This window comes from Homo sapiens, chromosome 1, assembly GCF_000001405.40.
Source record: "Homo sapiens chromosome 1, GRCh38.p14 Primary Assembly".
Taxonomy (NCBI): Eukaryota; Metazoa; Chordata; class Mammalia; order Primates; family Hominidae; genus Homo; species Homo sapiens.
The window spans coordinates 120,963,101-120,979,439 of NC_000001.11; the positions used below are offsets into that span (position 1 = coordinate 120,963,101).

General features: G+C 41.6%; 1 pseudogene across 3 annotated transcripts; it reads left to right on the top strand.

The window, feature by feature from the left end:
- The first annotated feature begins 547 nt into the window (after window positions 1-547).
- LOC105369199 (NBPF member 6 pseudogene) lies at window positions 548-10,836 on the top strand (annotated as a pseudogene). Of its 3 annotated transcripts, NR_160533.1 has the most exons (6): window positions 548-667; window positions 3,315-3,417; window positions 6,019-6,254; window positions 9,686-9,810; window positions 10,008-10,146; window positions 10,247-10,836. The product of NR_160533.1 is annotated as an NBPF member 6 pseudogene, transcript variant 2 (transcript). The 3 variants fall into 3 exon arrangements; NR_160534.1 differs by lacking the exon at window positions 3,315-3,417; NR_160532.1 differs by lacking the exons at window positions 9,686-9,810; window positions 10,008-10,146.
- Window positions 10,837-16,339: the final 5,503 nt, after the last annotated feature.

A 16,339-nucleotide genomic window follows, 5' to 3' on the forward strand; every position in this document is an offset into this window, starting at 1 on the left:
GAGCTCAAGTGATCCAACAACCCTGGTCTCCCAAAGTGGTGGGATTACAGGTGTGAACCACTGCACCTGGCCTCTAAATCGATATAAGTCAATTATTCACACACTGAGAGGAATATTCAGGATTTTTTTCTTATAATATAAATGATGTGGAAATCTGGAGAACCAAAGAAGAACACCAAGACTATCTAAAAGTGTTAAATTTTTCATTAGGAAGAAAATGAATTCATGATAGTAATTAAGACAGCGATAGAACTTGGGGAAATATGTATTCCTTGATGTTTTCTATGCATTTGCAATAATAAACAATGAAAATATGGTTGAATTTTAGAAAGAGATAGGCCTGTGGTATTGTCACAAGGGTATACAAATACTGAGATTGACTTGCTGAGGCAGTGGTCTCCATTGGTGGTGACCTTCAGAAGAGACCTGTGTTTCCACATGGCCTAGACACCTGGAAGGCAGAGATCCTAACATTCCATGACACCCCCACCTTCTAATTCTGATTGTGACTCCAGACCATTACCTGGCACTGGGTCTTACCTCTGGCATTCCTATCAGAGCCTGAACCACAGACAGTACCTTAGAGTCTAAGCTTAGATACCTTTGTCTTGTTTTTGTGGCTAAGGATTCTCAGAGTTGCGGGATGCTGATGAAATTTATCCCAAAAGTAAGTTATGAATCAGATCTGCTTTCTTTTGACTCATTTAAATCCTTTGTTTAATGTAAAGAAACTTTATTGAGGTATAATTTACATACTATAAAATTTACCCATTATAATTGTACAGTTGAATAATTTTTAGTAATTTACCCAAGTAGTGCAACCATTACCATAATCCATGCATTTGTTTTTAATTTATTATTTGTCTGGGTTCTGATTCTACTTCCACCACAAGCTTCAGCATGGCAGTATCTGCCACCACTTGTTTTGGTCCAAGGGCAGAAATGAGCATCCTGGAAACCAATCAGTACTTGCGCTCTGAACTGGAAAAGTGCAAACAGAACTTCCAAGACCTCACAGAGAAATTCCTGACATCCAAAGCTACTGCCTACTGCCTGGCCAATCACCTGCAGAAATGTAGTAGGTCCCAAAGGGGCATGGTCACCAAAGTGATAAATGATTGCCCATCTTTCCTCTGTGAAATGAAACACTGCGGACTTTATTCTCTATCAAAATTAATTTTATGCTAACTACACTCCCAGAAAGGTAGAAGTGGGCCTTTTACTCTCAATTTGCCAAGGACAGAAAAACTGAGGCACAAAGGTGTAAAGTTTGCAGGGTGAGTGTAGTGAGGAATAGAGACTAAAACCTTGGTTTAGGCATGAAACTGTCTTTCCCCTCTCAGCAATGAATATCAGATTCCACAAACATGTAACATCACTGTTGGTTAAAACATCTCAGGATTCGATTTAAACTTTTTTAAGAGCGCCCATTTGCAAAGCACTGTGCCAACAGCATCAGGGGTGATAGAAGTAATAGTATACCCTATCTGCCTTGAAGGAACTTAAAACTAGCTATTCTCAACTGAGTCACAGATATGTGGAGATGTGAACTTCAATAGCAGACATGGAAAAAAGTCTTTATGATACCTGGATCAAGATTCTCTTCCCACAAAAGTTCAGATAAGCCATTCCTCATGCTCTGGTTAGATTGAGGGTATTTCCAGAAAAATCAGAGACTTTGTAACACCCTTTCTGTCTCTCTCTGAGTATCAACTTTACAGACAGCAAGCAACTGCAGGTGGACATCCAGGATCAGAGCTATGAGACATATGGCCAAAATGAGAACAAGGCCAAGTGGAACAGACTGCCATTCTCAATAGAAGGCCAGGCCAGGTTAGGGGCTGGCCCCTTCCTCTCCACAGTTAGCTCTCACATTTTTAAATCCACTGTAAAATCCCAAACCTGTTACTAATAGTCAGGGAAGGGAAGCTGTAATGACAAGGAAACATGGGAACAAGGGCATGAGAGGAACAGGGATATTAGAAGAGGATTCTGGTTAACATAGAAATTGAGTTTGTTTTCCAATTTCTACAATTATTTTAAAATACATCATTGTGTGGGGGGTGGCTAAAAGTTGCTGTCTAACTTACTGTCATAGAAAAGTAAAACCAAAAGCCCACTTATTAAAGAAGTGAAAAGATGAGCTTTGGTGTGTGGAAAAACTAGTTTAAAAAAAAAACCTTCACTCATTATAATTGTAGGAAAAAAATTTCTCAAGCTAGAGAAGAAGAAAGATATTACCTAAGACCCTAGTATAAAGGTATTATTGTGCAGTGATTAAAAAGCATATACCCTGGGGCCAAATTTCCTGGGTTCAAATCTAACTTATCATCACTGTGCCTCAGTTTTCTCATCTGTAATGGTAATAGAGTAGGAACTACCTCTTTGGATGGTGGTGATGATCATATGATGATAATTCTTAAAAACCTACTGCAACAGTACCATGACAAACACTATGTGTTGGTTCTCCCTTTAAAACACCACCTATTAGCTTTTGGGCACATATCATTTGGATCTTTCTCCTCTATATACAGTTTTACACAGCTGTATACAGATAAATGTTTAAATCTTTGAAATATTTTGGGATTATTGAAACTCCTGACACAGGAGGACCATCAGTCCTACCATTCTTAGTATCTTCCCAAACACACAGGAAGTCATTATTTCATGCCCTTATGTTCATGTTTTACTTAAGAGGCTGTAAGGCTTGGTAAATTGGCCTTAAGATTTGAAGTCATGGCTGGGTGCATTGGCTCACTTACTGCAATCCCAGTACTTTGGGAAGCCAAGGTGGGTGGATCATTTGCAGTCAGGAGTTTGAGAGCAGCCTGGCCAACATGGTGAAGCCCTGTCTCTACTGAAAATACAAAAACTAGCAGGGTATGGTGGGACACACTTGTAATCTCAGCTACTTGGGAGGCTGAGGCAGGAGAATAACCCGGGAGTCAGAGGTGCAGTGAGCCGAGATTGTGCCACTGCCCTCCAGCCTGGGCAAAAAAGTGAGATTCCATCTCAAAAAAAAAAAAAAAAAGAAAAGAAAAACATGTGGCGTCAGACCTCAGGGGATGTGAATTCTGACTGCCTCATTCCAGCTGAATCATCTTGTCAAGTGACTTTATCAGGCTTTTCTTTCCTCATCTCTAAAACAGGGAGTAGTTGAGAGACTGAGGAATACAGATATGGAAATCCCAGCGTAAAGCCTCGTACTGGGGATACTTTTATCCTTGAGATAGACCCTGCCTCCTGCCCTGCAGGCAGTGACCACAGCAGCATGGCCAGCCTTCCATGATGCAGGCATGTCTATCTTTTCTCAGAGTGTGAAGAGTGCAAAGACCTTATAGAATCTGTGCTGGAGGAGGAGGTGCAGTTTCAGGAGAGGGAGCTGGCCGAATTGCCGAGGTCAGCTGCAAGGCTCCGGTAAGGAGGTACCTCTGTGGGAAGTGCATAAATACTGTTTGAAGTAGGGCAGCTCAGGCTGGTAGAACAAAGAGCAAATTTGTGCAAGGAGAAGGGCAGAAATGTATGACTCAGGCACAGAACTAGACTAAGACACAATGAGGTTATGGTCTAGTTAGGTCTCTAGGGTTTTCCATTAAATAGCATATTAGTAAAATGGAGACAGCTGTCTGCATTGGAATACTAGCAATGTGGCTTCTATTTGTGTGTCCTTGGTCAAATTTACTTCACTTTTCTGCGTGTCATTAAACTAGGCTACCTCATTTATAAAATGCAAATACTGACAGTATCTACTTAGAGGGTTATGAAGATTAAATGCACAATTGCAAGTAGTTAGAACCATCTCTAACACATATAAAACTCTGAACAACTATTTTCTGTAATTATTATATTTGTCCCCATTTATAGATGTGGTGATTGTCATTAATATTTTCTATAAGAGATATTTTCAAACTTTCCAAAGTGCCTTTCATGATAACAATGTTTCTCCTCCAAACTTTTTAAAAAAGTATTATACTAGGTGGAGTATTAACTGGTAGGGCTGTTGGGTAGATAGATGATTGAGCAGCTGTTGTGTGGAAAATGAATTATTAATTCGCTCAGGACCAGCATTGACTATCCTTAGAGGGTTTCAGACATAAGGTAGATTGTCGCATTCGAAACTTCTTTTAATCCTTTGTTGAAATGAAATCATAGAAGCTCAAATTTGTAAAACTCACCAAAGCAGAGATATTTGATTGAAGGTGGGATAGGTCTGGAGCCCCTGTTTCTCCCCAGTATGTGTCTTTACTTCCTCTGACACTTTCTAGTAACTCTAAGAAATAGAGTTTGAAAGAGGACCTGCAGATAACTACTTAGAAGACTGGTGGGGAGAAAATTCAAGCATTAGATGGGTTAGATGACTGTAAATGTTCAGTCTAGCTCTGGGATTACATGGTTCTAAACATTAACTGAATAACTACTTGTATGGGTACATACTACCGGGTGCTGTAAGTTGGGTAATAGGTAGCACTATCTTTAGACTCACAGAGCTCACACTCTACATTGGAACCCATGTGTATTAGTCCACTCTGACACTGCTATAAACATATATCTGAGATTGGTGATTTATAAAGAAAAGAGGTTTAATTGGCTCATGGTTCTGTGGGCTGTACAGGCTTCTGCTTCTGGGCAGGCCTCAGAAAACTTACAATCATTGCAGAAGTCAAAGGGGAAGAAGGCATGGTCTTCACATGGCCAGAGCAGGAGAGAGAGAGAGAGCAAAGAGGGAGGTGCACACTTTCAAACGACCAGACCTCATGAGAACTCACTCACTATCATGAGAACAGCAAGGGGGAAATCCACCACCATGATCCAGTCACTATCCAGCAGGTCCCTGGTTGGATTACAATCCGACATGAGATTTGAGTGGGGACACAGAGCCAAACCATATTACCATGAGAAATATTTAAACAATAATTAGAAAAAAAATAAATCCGCACAGAGTAATGAAATTACTACTCAGAACTTTACTTTTTTTCTTTTTTTGAGATGGAGTCTTACCCTGTTGCCCAGGCTAGAGTGCAGTGGTGTGATCTCAGCTCACTGCAACCTCAACCTCCCAGGTTCAAGTGATCCTCCTAGGTCAGCCTCCCCAGCAGTTGAGAGTATAGGTGCACACCACCACACCAGCTAATTTTTGTATTTTTAGTAGAGATGGGGTTTCGCCATGTTGGCCAGGCTGGTCTCAAAACTCCTGACCTAAGGTGATCTGCCTGCCTTGGCCTCCCAAAGTGCTGAGATTACAGGCATGAGCCACTGTGCCCGGCCAGAACTTTAGTTTTAACTGCCTTCTTACTGATTATAGTCTATCTTCATGTCATTCAGAAGAATACTGCCCCTCTTGACCTTTTCACTGATTTTTCTTTTTAACTTTCAATTAATACTAGAGATACCGGCCCAACAGTTTTGAACTTGGCTTTTTTTTTTTTTTTTTTTCTGCCAGTTACTGCATATGAAAAGGTACATGGGCTAAAGTGGGGAACCAAAGGGGCATCTTTTTAAAGGAAATTTAGTAAAATAACAGACAAACCCAAGGCTGCTTCTTCATTCCTTCTGCCACAGGCAAGTCACACAACTTGTACAAGAATTCATCTTGGGCCAGGTGCAGTGGCTCATGCCTGTAATCCCAGCAGTTTGGGACACTGAGGTGCATGAATCATTTCAGGTCAGGAGTTCAAGACTAGCCTGGCCAACATAGCAAAACCCCATCTCTACAAAAAATATATAAATTATCCTGGCATGGTGGTGGGCATCTGTAGTCCCAGCTACTTGGAAGGCTGAGGCAAGAGAATTGCTTGAACCTGGGAGGCGGAGTCAGAGGCGGAGGTTGCAGTGAACCGAGATCACATCACTGCACTCCAGCTTGGGCAACAGAGTGAGACCCTGTCTCAAAAAAAAAGAAAAAAAGAATTCAACTTGGGAGTTCCTTACAGGGATTCTAAGAGATCTCTCCTCTGAAACTTCTATAACCTATTATTCACTACATTCCCTCATACATTTTACTCTTCTTTCCCACCTTAGGATACATGATCCCTTAATTCAGGCTCAGGCTGAAGAACTGACCCACTTACAACAGAAGATACAGGAAGGGAGAGGTGTCTGCTACCTTTTCACCCAGCATGTGAAGAACACAGTCAAGTCTTTTGAGGGCCTTCTCAGGAACACTGACATTGCCTACTACCAGAGACAGAGATTCTGTGAGCAAATGGTACAAGGAAGCCAGCTGACAGAGATCCTTGTCAGAAAACTTGCCACAGGTAAGTTGGCTACAGGCTCTGAAGACCCTTAGCTCCTCCCAAGTGCCCCAAAGTGGGGAGAAAAAATGCAAACTTATCTCCATTATAGATTTTATTTTAGTTTTGACTATGGTCCTTAATCTGCATTCTATTGTTTTCTCTTTAGAGCACTCAGGTAATCACTTTTCATATTCTTTCTAGAATTCTAAGTTTTGTTTTTTATTTTGAGACAGAGTCTTGCTCTCTTACCCAAGCTGGAGTGCAGTGACATGATCTTGGCTGACTGCAATCTGTGCCTCCTGGGCTCAAGCAATCTTCCCACCTCAGCCTCCCAAGTAGCTGGGACTACAGGTGTGTGCCACCACACCTGGCTAATGTTTGTATTTTTTGTAGAGATAGGGTTTCTCCATGTTGTCCAGGCTGGTCTTGAACTACTGAGCTGAAGTAATCCACCTGCTTTGGCCTCCCAAAGTGCTGGGATTACAGATATGAGCCACTGTGCCTGGCCTGAGAGTTCTTAGTTTCAATCAGTAAGAGAGGTAGAGTATAGTGGATTACTTCATCTTGATGAGCATAAGAACTCACCTTCATTTCTGGAAGATGTTTTCACTGGATGTAGGATTCTAGTTGACAGTTTTTGTTTTAAAAAAGTGTTTGAAAAGTGATATTCCACTGTCTTCTGGCTTACACTGTTCCAACAAGAAGTCTGCCATAATTCTTATTTCTGTTTCTCTGTACATAATATGTCTTTTTTCTCTGGATGCTTTTGAGATTTTCTATTTATCACTCGTTTGAAGCAGTTTGATTAAGATAAGACCTTGTATAGTTTTCTCTTTTACATATTGTTCTACTTTATTTAGTTTCTTGCATCTGCATGCTTATAGTTCTCATCAAATTTGAATAATAATGACATACATAGTCTTACCTATGGCATATACAATATATTATATTTGGCATATATACATCAAATATATATAATGTATATTCTATTCTTTCTCTCTATCTTCTCCTTCAAAGACTCCAGTTATATTTATATTAGCTGCTTTGAAATTTTACCACAGCTGACTAATGGTCTGTTCATTTTTGTTGTATCTTTTCTTTCTCTCTGTTTCTTTCTATTTCCATGTCTTGGAATTGATTAATCTTTCTTCAGCAGCATCTAATCTGCTGTTAATCCTATCCAGTGTATTTTCATCTCAGACTTTATTTTTCATCTAAATTTAATTTATGTCTTTTTTTAAGTTCTTCTATGTAACTCTTCATCATTTCATATTTTCCTCTAGCTTCTTTATTTTATTTTATTCTATTTTTTGAGACAGAGTCTCGCTCTGTTGCCCAGGCTGAAGTGCAGTGGTGAGATTTTGGCTCACTGCAACATTCACCTCCTAAATTCAAGTGATTCCTGTGCCTCAGCCTCCTGAGTAGCTGGAATTACCGGCACATGCCTCCACACCCAGCTAATTTTCATATTTTTCAGAGAGACGGGGTTTCACCACATTGGCCAGGCCGATCTCAAACTCCTGACCTCATGTGACCCACATTGGCCTGGCAAAGTGCTGGGATTACAAGCATGAGCCACCACACTGGCCTAGCTTCTTTAATACAAGGTATACAGTTATATTTGTTTCAATGTGCTTATCTACAGATTCTCTCATCTGTGTCCTTTTTATTGTTTTTTAATTCTCACCTGATGTGTCCTTTCTAAGTCAGTTTAAGTAGATTGATTTTTTTCCCCCTTCTTATCATGGATTACAGTTTTCTGTTTCTCTGCATTCCTAACATTATTTTATTTGGGGTTAGACATTGAGCATTGTAACTTATTGGGTGCTGGATTTTTTTGCATTTTGTGTTAAAATTCTTTGAGCTTTGTTTTGGTATACAATAAAGTTACTTAAAAACAATTTTCATCTCTCCAAGCTGGCTTTTTAATTTTTTTCAGGCAGCATAAGAGCAGCTATTAGTCAACTGCTATTTTTTTTCCCACTATGGAGGCAAAATGACCTTTAAGAAAATAGACCTTATTTTTTAGAGTAGTTTCAGATTCACAGCAAAATTGAGCAGGAAGTACAGAAAGTTCCCATATACCCCCTGCCTCCACACATGCATAGCCTCCTAGACTATCAACATCTCTCTCCAGAATGGCACATTTGTTACAGTTGATGAACTTACATTGACATGTCATTATCACACAAAGTCCATAGTTTACATTGGGGGCAATACTCTTTTGAAGATTCTAAGCCAGTGATCTCCCACAGATTTGGCACCAGGGACTGGTTGCACGAAAGACAATTTTTCCACAGACAAGGTGGGGGTGGGGTGGTAGGGGTTGGGAATTGGGTGGTTTCAGTATGAAACTGTTCCACCTCAGATCATCAGGCACTAGTTAGAGTCTCATAAGGAGCATGCAACCTAGATCCCTGGCATGTACAGTTCACAATAGGGTTTGTGCTCCGATGCTAATCTAATGCCATCGTTGATCTGACAGGAGGCTGAGCTCAGGCGGTAATGCTTTCTCGCTGGCTGCTCACCTCCTGCTGTGCGGTCCCATTCCTAACAGGCCATGGACCAGTGCTGGGGGTTGGGGACTCCTGTTCTAACCAATGCTCCCTCTATTAAAAGGGATTTTCACACTAGCTGATGGAAACACCAAGTGTTGCAAGCTATGTGTGAGCTACAGAGATTATTCCTTTTGGGAAGTTCTTTGCCCTGCTTTGCATAATTTCCTCAAATACATGTACTAATCAGTACTTAGCTGAAGATTGAAGACAGATATCCAAGGCATTCTATCTGTGCAGCAACCTATTCTCTAGTCTGTCCTGTGATGTCTAGCCACCCTGTCTTCTTCAAAGTTACTACCAGGCTCTGCCTGGGTCCTCCCTCCCTGCTCTACAGTTGACAATCTCAGGCAGCAAACTGGAGCAATCATAGGGCTCACCTCTTTTATTTATTATAGTACTGCACTATATCCAATGTTGAAGATAGAGTTTAAAATACTTTTTCCAGTTTCTCAGTTGTTTAAGGTGGAGGACAAATCAGGTCCCCATTACTCCAAATTGGCCAGAAGCAGAAGTCTCCATTCCATCTTTGTGGTCAGAAAGAACAGTATGACAGAAGGCAGCTTGTTAGAATGGGAAGACCCATGGGCTAAGAATCAGCATTACCTAGGCTCTAGTCTCAGCACTGTATTTACTAACTTTGTGCAAGTGATTGATCCTTCTTGAATTTCTGTTTCCCCATTTGTAAAGTGGGTCAAATCATAATTCCAAGGCTGCTGTACAGATCAGTTGAAGTAGTATCTTAATGTTCATGAGTGTATTTCTCTTTCAGGGTTATTTATTTTTTTATTTTTGGGTCCCAATAAACCGTCCAAATCTTTTGGGGTTAGTTCAGGCACTGTATATAGTAGAAGCTGGTGTTAGAAAAGTTGATTTATACTGGAATATTTTTCACAGAATCAACCCCAATGCTCACTAACAAACTGAGAAGAAAAAAAAGAATTACCCCCAACAACATCTGAGGAAGCACAACAGGGACAGACTTGAAGGCACCTGGGCAGTCCTCTGGTTTTGGAGTAGAGGTAGGACAGGGCTATTTGTCCTCTCAGAGACTGGAGCAGGTTCTGTGTGTGAGTAGCAATGGGACAAACAGTCGTGGTCTGGCAACCAGCCTGTAGCAGGAAGGAAGGTTACAACTGGAGAAGTCCAAAGGGCAGCCAGGCAAGTATTCTTTGAGCTGGGGAACAAAAGGCATTTAAAACTTTTTGCTCTGCTTCAGGCAGCTGACGTCTGGTGATGATTCACCATATCAGGAACACCCTGTCCAGTGGGCTAAGGCAAGCCTGCCAGGCCACTTCTCTAAAGACACAACCTGAGGCCTCCTGCAATAATTCTCACAGAGCATTCTGAACATACATGTAAGCTGTTATGTCCCTGATCATATAGGGCCCATGTGTGCAATGTGTGAAATGGGACCTGCTTAATTTCTGACTAGCTCTTTCTAATTTTGGTTTGCAGAAAATCACAATGGTAAGAAAAATGAAGACAGGCAAAAGCCACTGGCTCCCAGGTAACTCTACATGATGAAGGGGCTGATAATGGACTGACCAAATCTAGAGAGAATTCCAGAAGCAAGGACTCAAGAGGTTAAAGGTCCCAGATCTAGAAAAAGCAGAAACTGCTGATTGTTCCTTTTTTTGTTGACTGATTATACAATGTGTCCTTTTAAAAATGGTTCTCTGTTCTCTTTGCAGTTTTTGTATTGGTTCCTAGTTCCTAGTAATTTCTCACACTTAGTTAACCAGTCAGTCTTACCGAAAAGTAAACTAACCAGGGATCCCTGGTTTCTGTATCTTTAAAACCTATAGGGTTACAAACCAAAGTGAGATGCCTATCTGGTTTCTGCACAGTTGTCCTGAATTATGTTGGCAGATATTTTATAGCCAGAAATTTACCTTGAAAAATAAATTGAAACCATACCAAGTATTTAGAGCTAGGGGTCTAAAATCTGCAAAAGCCGTGGGAGGTTGTGTTGTCTCAAGAGCCAGTATTCAGTGGACCACTCCACATCATATTAAATAAAATTTAAACACAGCATTTTGAAGCCGACAGTATGGGTCACTGTGTGTCCTGTGTGCCGTGAGCGTATTGTAGAGTAGTTGTTGAGTCTGCTGCCTTATCTGTGTGTTATGAGGTCAATGCACTGATCACTTGCTTTTTTCACTTCTATACTAACTCTAGGCACACTTTACTCCCAGTCAAAAGTGGACTGTATACTTCCTCTTTGATGTGATGGTCCCTTTGGTTTTGGTGCCTCTTCCATGAGCTTCAGATCAGAACTAGCTATGTGGTTCCAGGCTGCCTTGGTTTAATCCCTTGTCTTGCCTACTTCACCTGGCTCAAGAGGGAAGTCCAGGAGGAAGAAATGGATGAAGTCCTGGAGTACTCACTAGATGAACAGTATTTGACTCATTCCAGCTGCCATGACTCCCACCAGCTTCCCAGCAGCAATGCCTTCCTCTTTGATGCACAGGAAGGCCCCTCGGCTGTGGAAACAGCCAGTAAGTGCTCCTTTGATAAGAAAAATAAAGCTCCATCAATCTCTCAGTAGCTCCTACATTCTACATGCTCACCACCTCTGTCTAAACTGAGAGATGTTATTCTCTGCAGGCAGGCCCTAAACATTCACTTTAAAAAAGTGATTAGGCTGAACACAGCTCTGGGATCAACTCTCAAGTACAGGTCCCTGGTGTGTCAGGTAATTTGCTCTGTTCCTGTCCTCACCTCAGTCCCTCTGGTCCAGACCGGCATCTGCAAGCCGGTATACTCAAAGCAGGCCAGAATGGAGAGAGTGAAGAGATTATGGCAGACTCTCTGCCACTACTGCCGCGCATGTACAAATCTGTTTAACAGATCTTCTTCTTTAAAATGGGACATCTCATCTTTCCTGAAATATATATATTTTTTGAGACAGGGTCTCTTGTTCTGTCACCCAGGCTAGAGTGCAGTGGCATGATCTTGGCTCACCACAACCTAAAACCCAGGGTCAAATGACCCTCCCACCTCAGCCTCCTGAGTAGCTGAAAACACAGATGCATGCCACTACTCCTGGCTATTTTTTTTGCCTTTTTGGTAGAGATGGGTTCTTGCCTTTTTGCCCAGGCTGGCCTCAAACTCCTGAGCTCAAGCAATTCACCCACCCCTGCCTCCCAAAGTGCTGGGATTACAGATGTGAGCCACTGCACCCAGCCTTCCTGAAATACTCTTGATAATTATAGTTCCTGAACAGCTTTCCCAAGCTGTTCTAGCCATCCCAAGAATGTTGGCAGGCTTGTCCATATGTTTGGAGGTGCAATTATAATGGTTCCTGGGTTTCAAGCTCCAGTCTCCATCTCCCCTCAGATGCTTGCTTTCCCATAAGGTTCCATCTGACTACTGGAATATCAGGGGATTTCCATAAAGACAAGACTTTGATCTTGGCAACCCTTTGGTAAATAGCCAGGGTTCTCAATCTTTGTGCAGCACCAAGGTATTTTTAAGATGTCTGTTAGTTTCGTCTCAGTGTTGTAATTCCATCTAAATAAACAATGAGGCTATCTGCTGGAGAAAAGGCTGAATCTAAGAGCAATGCCGCCAGCATGCCCTCTTCCCAGAATAACTCCACGCTAGCCATTGGAGCTTCATTAGGTATATAAGAGCCCTTTGGTTTGGTAGCCTCTCTGGTGTGTGTATAGATTAAAACCTTGACCTATATCTCCTCTCCCTTACTTGAATGTTTGACTTTACTTTGGGGGCAAAAGTTTGGATTGTTAGGAGACTATATGCTTTATATACTCTTCTATGCAATAAAAAGAGATTATATTAATTCACTCATTGAGCTTTCACAGTAATATAAACCATATTAGGCTTGTCATTCTGTCAGTGATGGGTGTAAGTTTGTGGCTTTAATTAGTCATACCATCTTCTGACAAAGGCATCCTTATTTCTCTTTCCAATTTCACAGTAATGGTGCAGAAGAAGGTCTTTACCATCTGTTAAAGATGTTCAGGGCCGGGCATGGTGGCCCACACCTATAATCCCAGCCCTTTGGGAGGCCTAGGTGGGTGGATCACTTGAGATCAGGAGTTCAAGACCAGCCCGGCCAACATGCTGAAACCCTGTCTCTACTAAAAATGCAAAAATTAGCCAAGCATAGTGGTGCACGCCTGTAGTCTCAGTCACTTGGGAGGCTGAGGCATGAGAATCCTTTGAACCTGGGAGACGGAGGTTGCACTGAGCCAAGATGGTGCCTCTGCACTCCAGCTTGGGTGACAGAATGAGACTCTGTCAAAAAACAACAACAAAAACAAAATATGTTCAGGAGAGATATTTTGTAGAGAGGAAGATATTCCCTAGTACCTATAAGTCATCTCAAGGAAGTGGTCATACCTTTTCTAGTGCTAGAAAAGCCCTACTCAGAGACCTTCAGTGTTTTCCCACCTCCTGTCAACCTGCCTTATACTTCCCATATCTCCATGTGGGAGGCATCCCTGTGGAGTTTGCTTAGCACTTGGCCATGCTTTCTTTGAAACCTTAAAAGCTCTTAAAGAAAGTTGCCTTATGTTCCCTGATGAGAAGATGAAGTTGGCAAAAGAATGGTGAAAGGCAGGGATCTTGACGAGAGGCCCCTGACTATCCCTTTAGTGATCAGCATCTTCACTTCCCATCTCATTCCATGTCCTGGTGGAATGGCTGCAGAAGATGAGATCCAGAGCCAGTGGCAGCACCTGAAGGAGACCCTTTTCATCAACAACTGCCTGTGAGAAAAGCTAGAACGTCATCACAGCAGCTTTGATGAAGAAAATGGTAGGAGAGGCCCAAGTCAGCCTGCTTCTGGCAATATGTATTTTTCTAAAGGCGTGTGACTGGGGCAGAGTTTTATAGATTTCAAACACTTTGACATACTTTACTTCACTTATTCATTACAAATGTCCCAGCTAGAGAGGCAGGGCAGCTACTATCATTCCTATTTATAGGTAAATAAATAGGCTTAAAGATATGCCTTCATCTTAGAGGTATCTACTTCTAAAATCATTCTTGTGATTCCTAAGCTGTCTGCTGTCTTCTGTCTGCTGCTGTACACTGCCTGCTGTCTCTCTGCTTCTTATGTGATTGGCATTCAGTAGAACCCAGGTTTCTGAGCACCTCACATAGCAGAATGAGTCTCCTCTACTGCCATCCTCATCAGCTTCCCTTATGTCTTGGTGACTCTTCATTCTACCACCCCAAGGTGGTTCTCTCCAACCCCCCTCCTCTTAGATTGTTCTCACACAGAGGCCATCATTTCATAACATTGTGCTGGGCCAGAAGAACCATAAGCAGGTCCCTTCCCATACCAAAGCCGTAACTATTTTGGAAAAGCCTCCTTCATATTGCAGCCATTGGACATGATAATACATGTGATGTGCTGGCATTTGTTGAGAATCATGTGAAAATTAAGCTTCCACCCCATCACACTAACGTTCCAGCCCTCCACGGTTTTCTCCCTAGGCTAAGATAGAGAGGAAGAACATGAAATGTGCAGAAAGCATTCTCTTAAGCAAACGTGTATAACTTGCATAAATTGTAATAATTTCCTGGAACAGGATGCACCTCTAACCTCTACAGGCAAATCATAGATTCCATTGTCCAGCTGTATAATGAAAACAGAGTTCTCAGAGAAGAATACCGGAGACTCTCCCGACTTGCCTGAATCAAATTTCCAGAGGTAAGTGGTGAAAGGCCACAATATGAAGTCACTCTCAGATGGGTCCCTTCTCTTGCCACACTCCACTGTAGAAATAAAAGAGGACGGGGAGGCCAGAGCTGCTCAAAACCTTATAACCCACAATTCTCATAGCTATTCTCAACTTAGAGAGGGCTGCTTTCTAGACACACCCCCTCCAGGCCCCCAGACTGCCAGGCTCCAGGAATAAGTAGCTCTAAGAAATACAGTATTTCGGTGCGAGCCACACCCCACTCTTGCAAATTGGAGAAGAGAAGGACAAACTTAAAAGGTGAAAAGATTTAACAGAACAACAGGGTGAAACCCCATCTCTAATAAAAATACAAAACTTAGCTGGGCGTGGTGGCATGCACCTGTAGTCCCAGCTACTCAGGAGGCTGAGGCAGGAGAATCATTTCAACCCAGGAGGCAGACGTTGCAGCGAGCCAAATTTGCGCCACTGCATTCTAGCCTGAGTGACAGAGCATGATTCCATCTCAAAAAAAAAAAGAAAAAAAAAAAGAAAAGAAAGACAGAAAAGATTTAAGAGAACAATTATTTTAATTGAATACATTTTGTCAAGATTAAATCAACTTTCCCCTAGAATACTGAAAGAATAAGCAATCATAATTTAGATTCTAAGTTACTGGCCTTTGAGAAAGTGTGAAATCCAAAAAGATGCCGTGAGCCAAAAAAGAGCAAAAGTCCTAATTTTCAAACTTATGAAAATAAAGTACTAAATAATTGAAATCGTCGTAGTTCATCTTGGTCCTTGGCAAAATAAAAATTTATTGATTGAAATTATAATATACTAGCTACCTTATCGTGCCTAGCTCTTACCACTGAGGAGAAAAACCAAACGCAAACAAAAGTATGTTCAAATTGGCAAAAATGTTTACAAACCTGCAAAATCTCTTCAGCCTATCCCTTAAACTGCAGACTTGGTATTTACTAAGCTCTGCTGTGTACAATACCCACCTTAATATCCATTCTTGCACAAGTTCTGTTAGGTATAAGCCAAAATCACATGGGATTTTTTTTTTTTACCCTCTCATGCCTATGTTTGCTTTTGCTTCCAAAGACCCTTCTGAGTAAGGACTGTCCTCAGACTACTGGAGTCACTTAGTCACAAGCTTGCCTGAGGCTCAGAGCTGGCAATACCTGGTAGTTTATGTCAATCCCACATGCAACCCTGCCTGCAAAGTATTTACCCATGATTGACAGGTGCAGGTGTATGAAAGCCCAGCTCCTTGACTTGAGGGGTGCGTTTGTGGTGAATTAGCTTTGGGAAAAGGGAATCCAGAGGCCAACTTTGTAAAAATCCAGATAGGTAAATGGAGAGAAATCTTTGCCTTGGAAGTCCAGTTGAGAAAGATAGTGATTTACTTCGGACTGTGAAAAGAGAGACTAAAATCTTTACTTTCTCATGGGAAAGAAGCCTATGGTGAAAGAGAAAGAAAGAAAATGGTGGGAAATAGGGTAGGTCTACTCAGTAGCTTTAAACCATTCTGTCATATTATAAAGCCTAGTAAGGTTTTAACTAACACAAGTGCCTGGACTCTACACATAGAGATTCTGATTTAAATGCTTCCAGGTGGGTGGAAGACACTAGTAGTCTTAAAATGCTCCCAAGTAATTTTAACATGTAGCTAAAGATGAAAAGGACAATCTATCTACTAGAATGTCAAGTCGCCAGCATAGGAGTGTCCCAAATGTGCAGCTACCTCATAGAAAAGGCTTAACCCCACCCATTGATGGAATTTGCCTTCCTCTCTCCATGGTCTTGTTTGCATAGCATGGAAAAAAAGAGAAGAGAAAAAGAGGTAGACGGATAGATTGAACCTATAATTTGCCTATGTGGAGCAGTT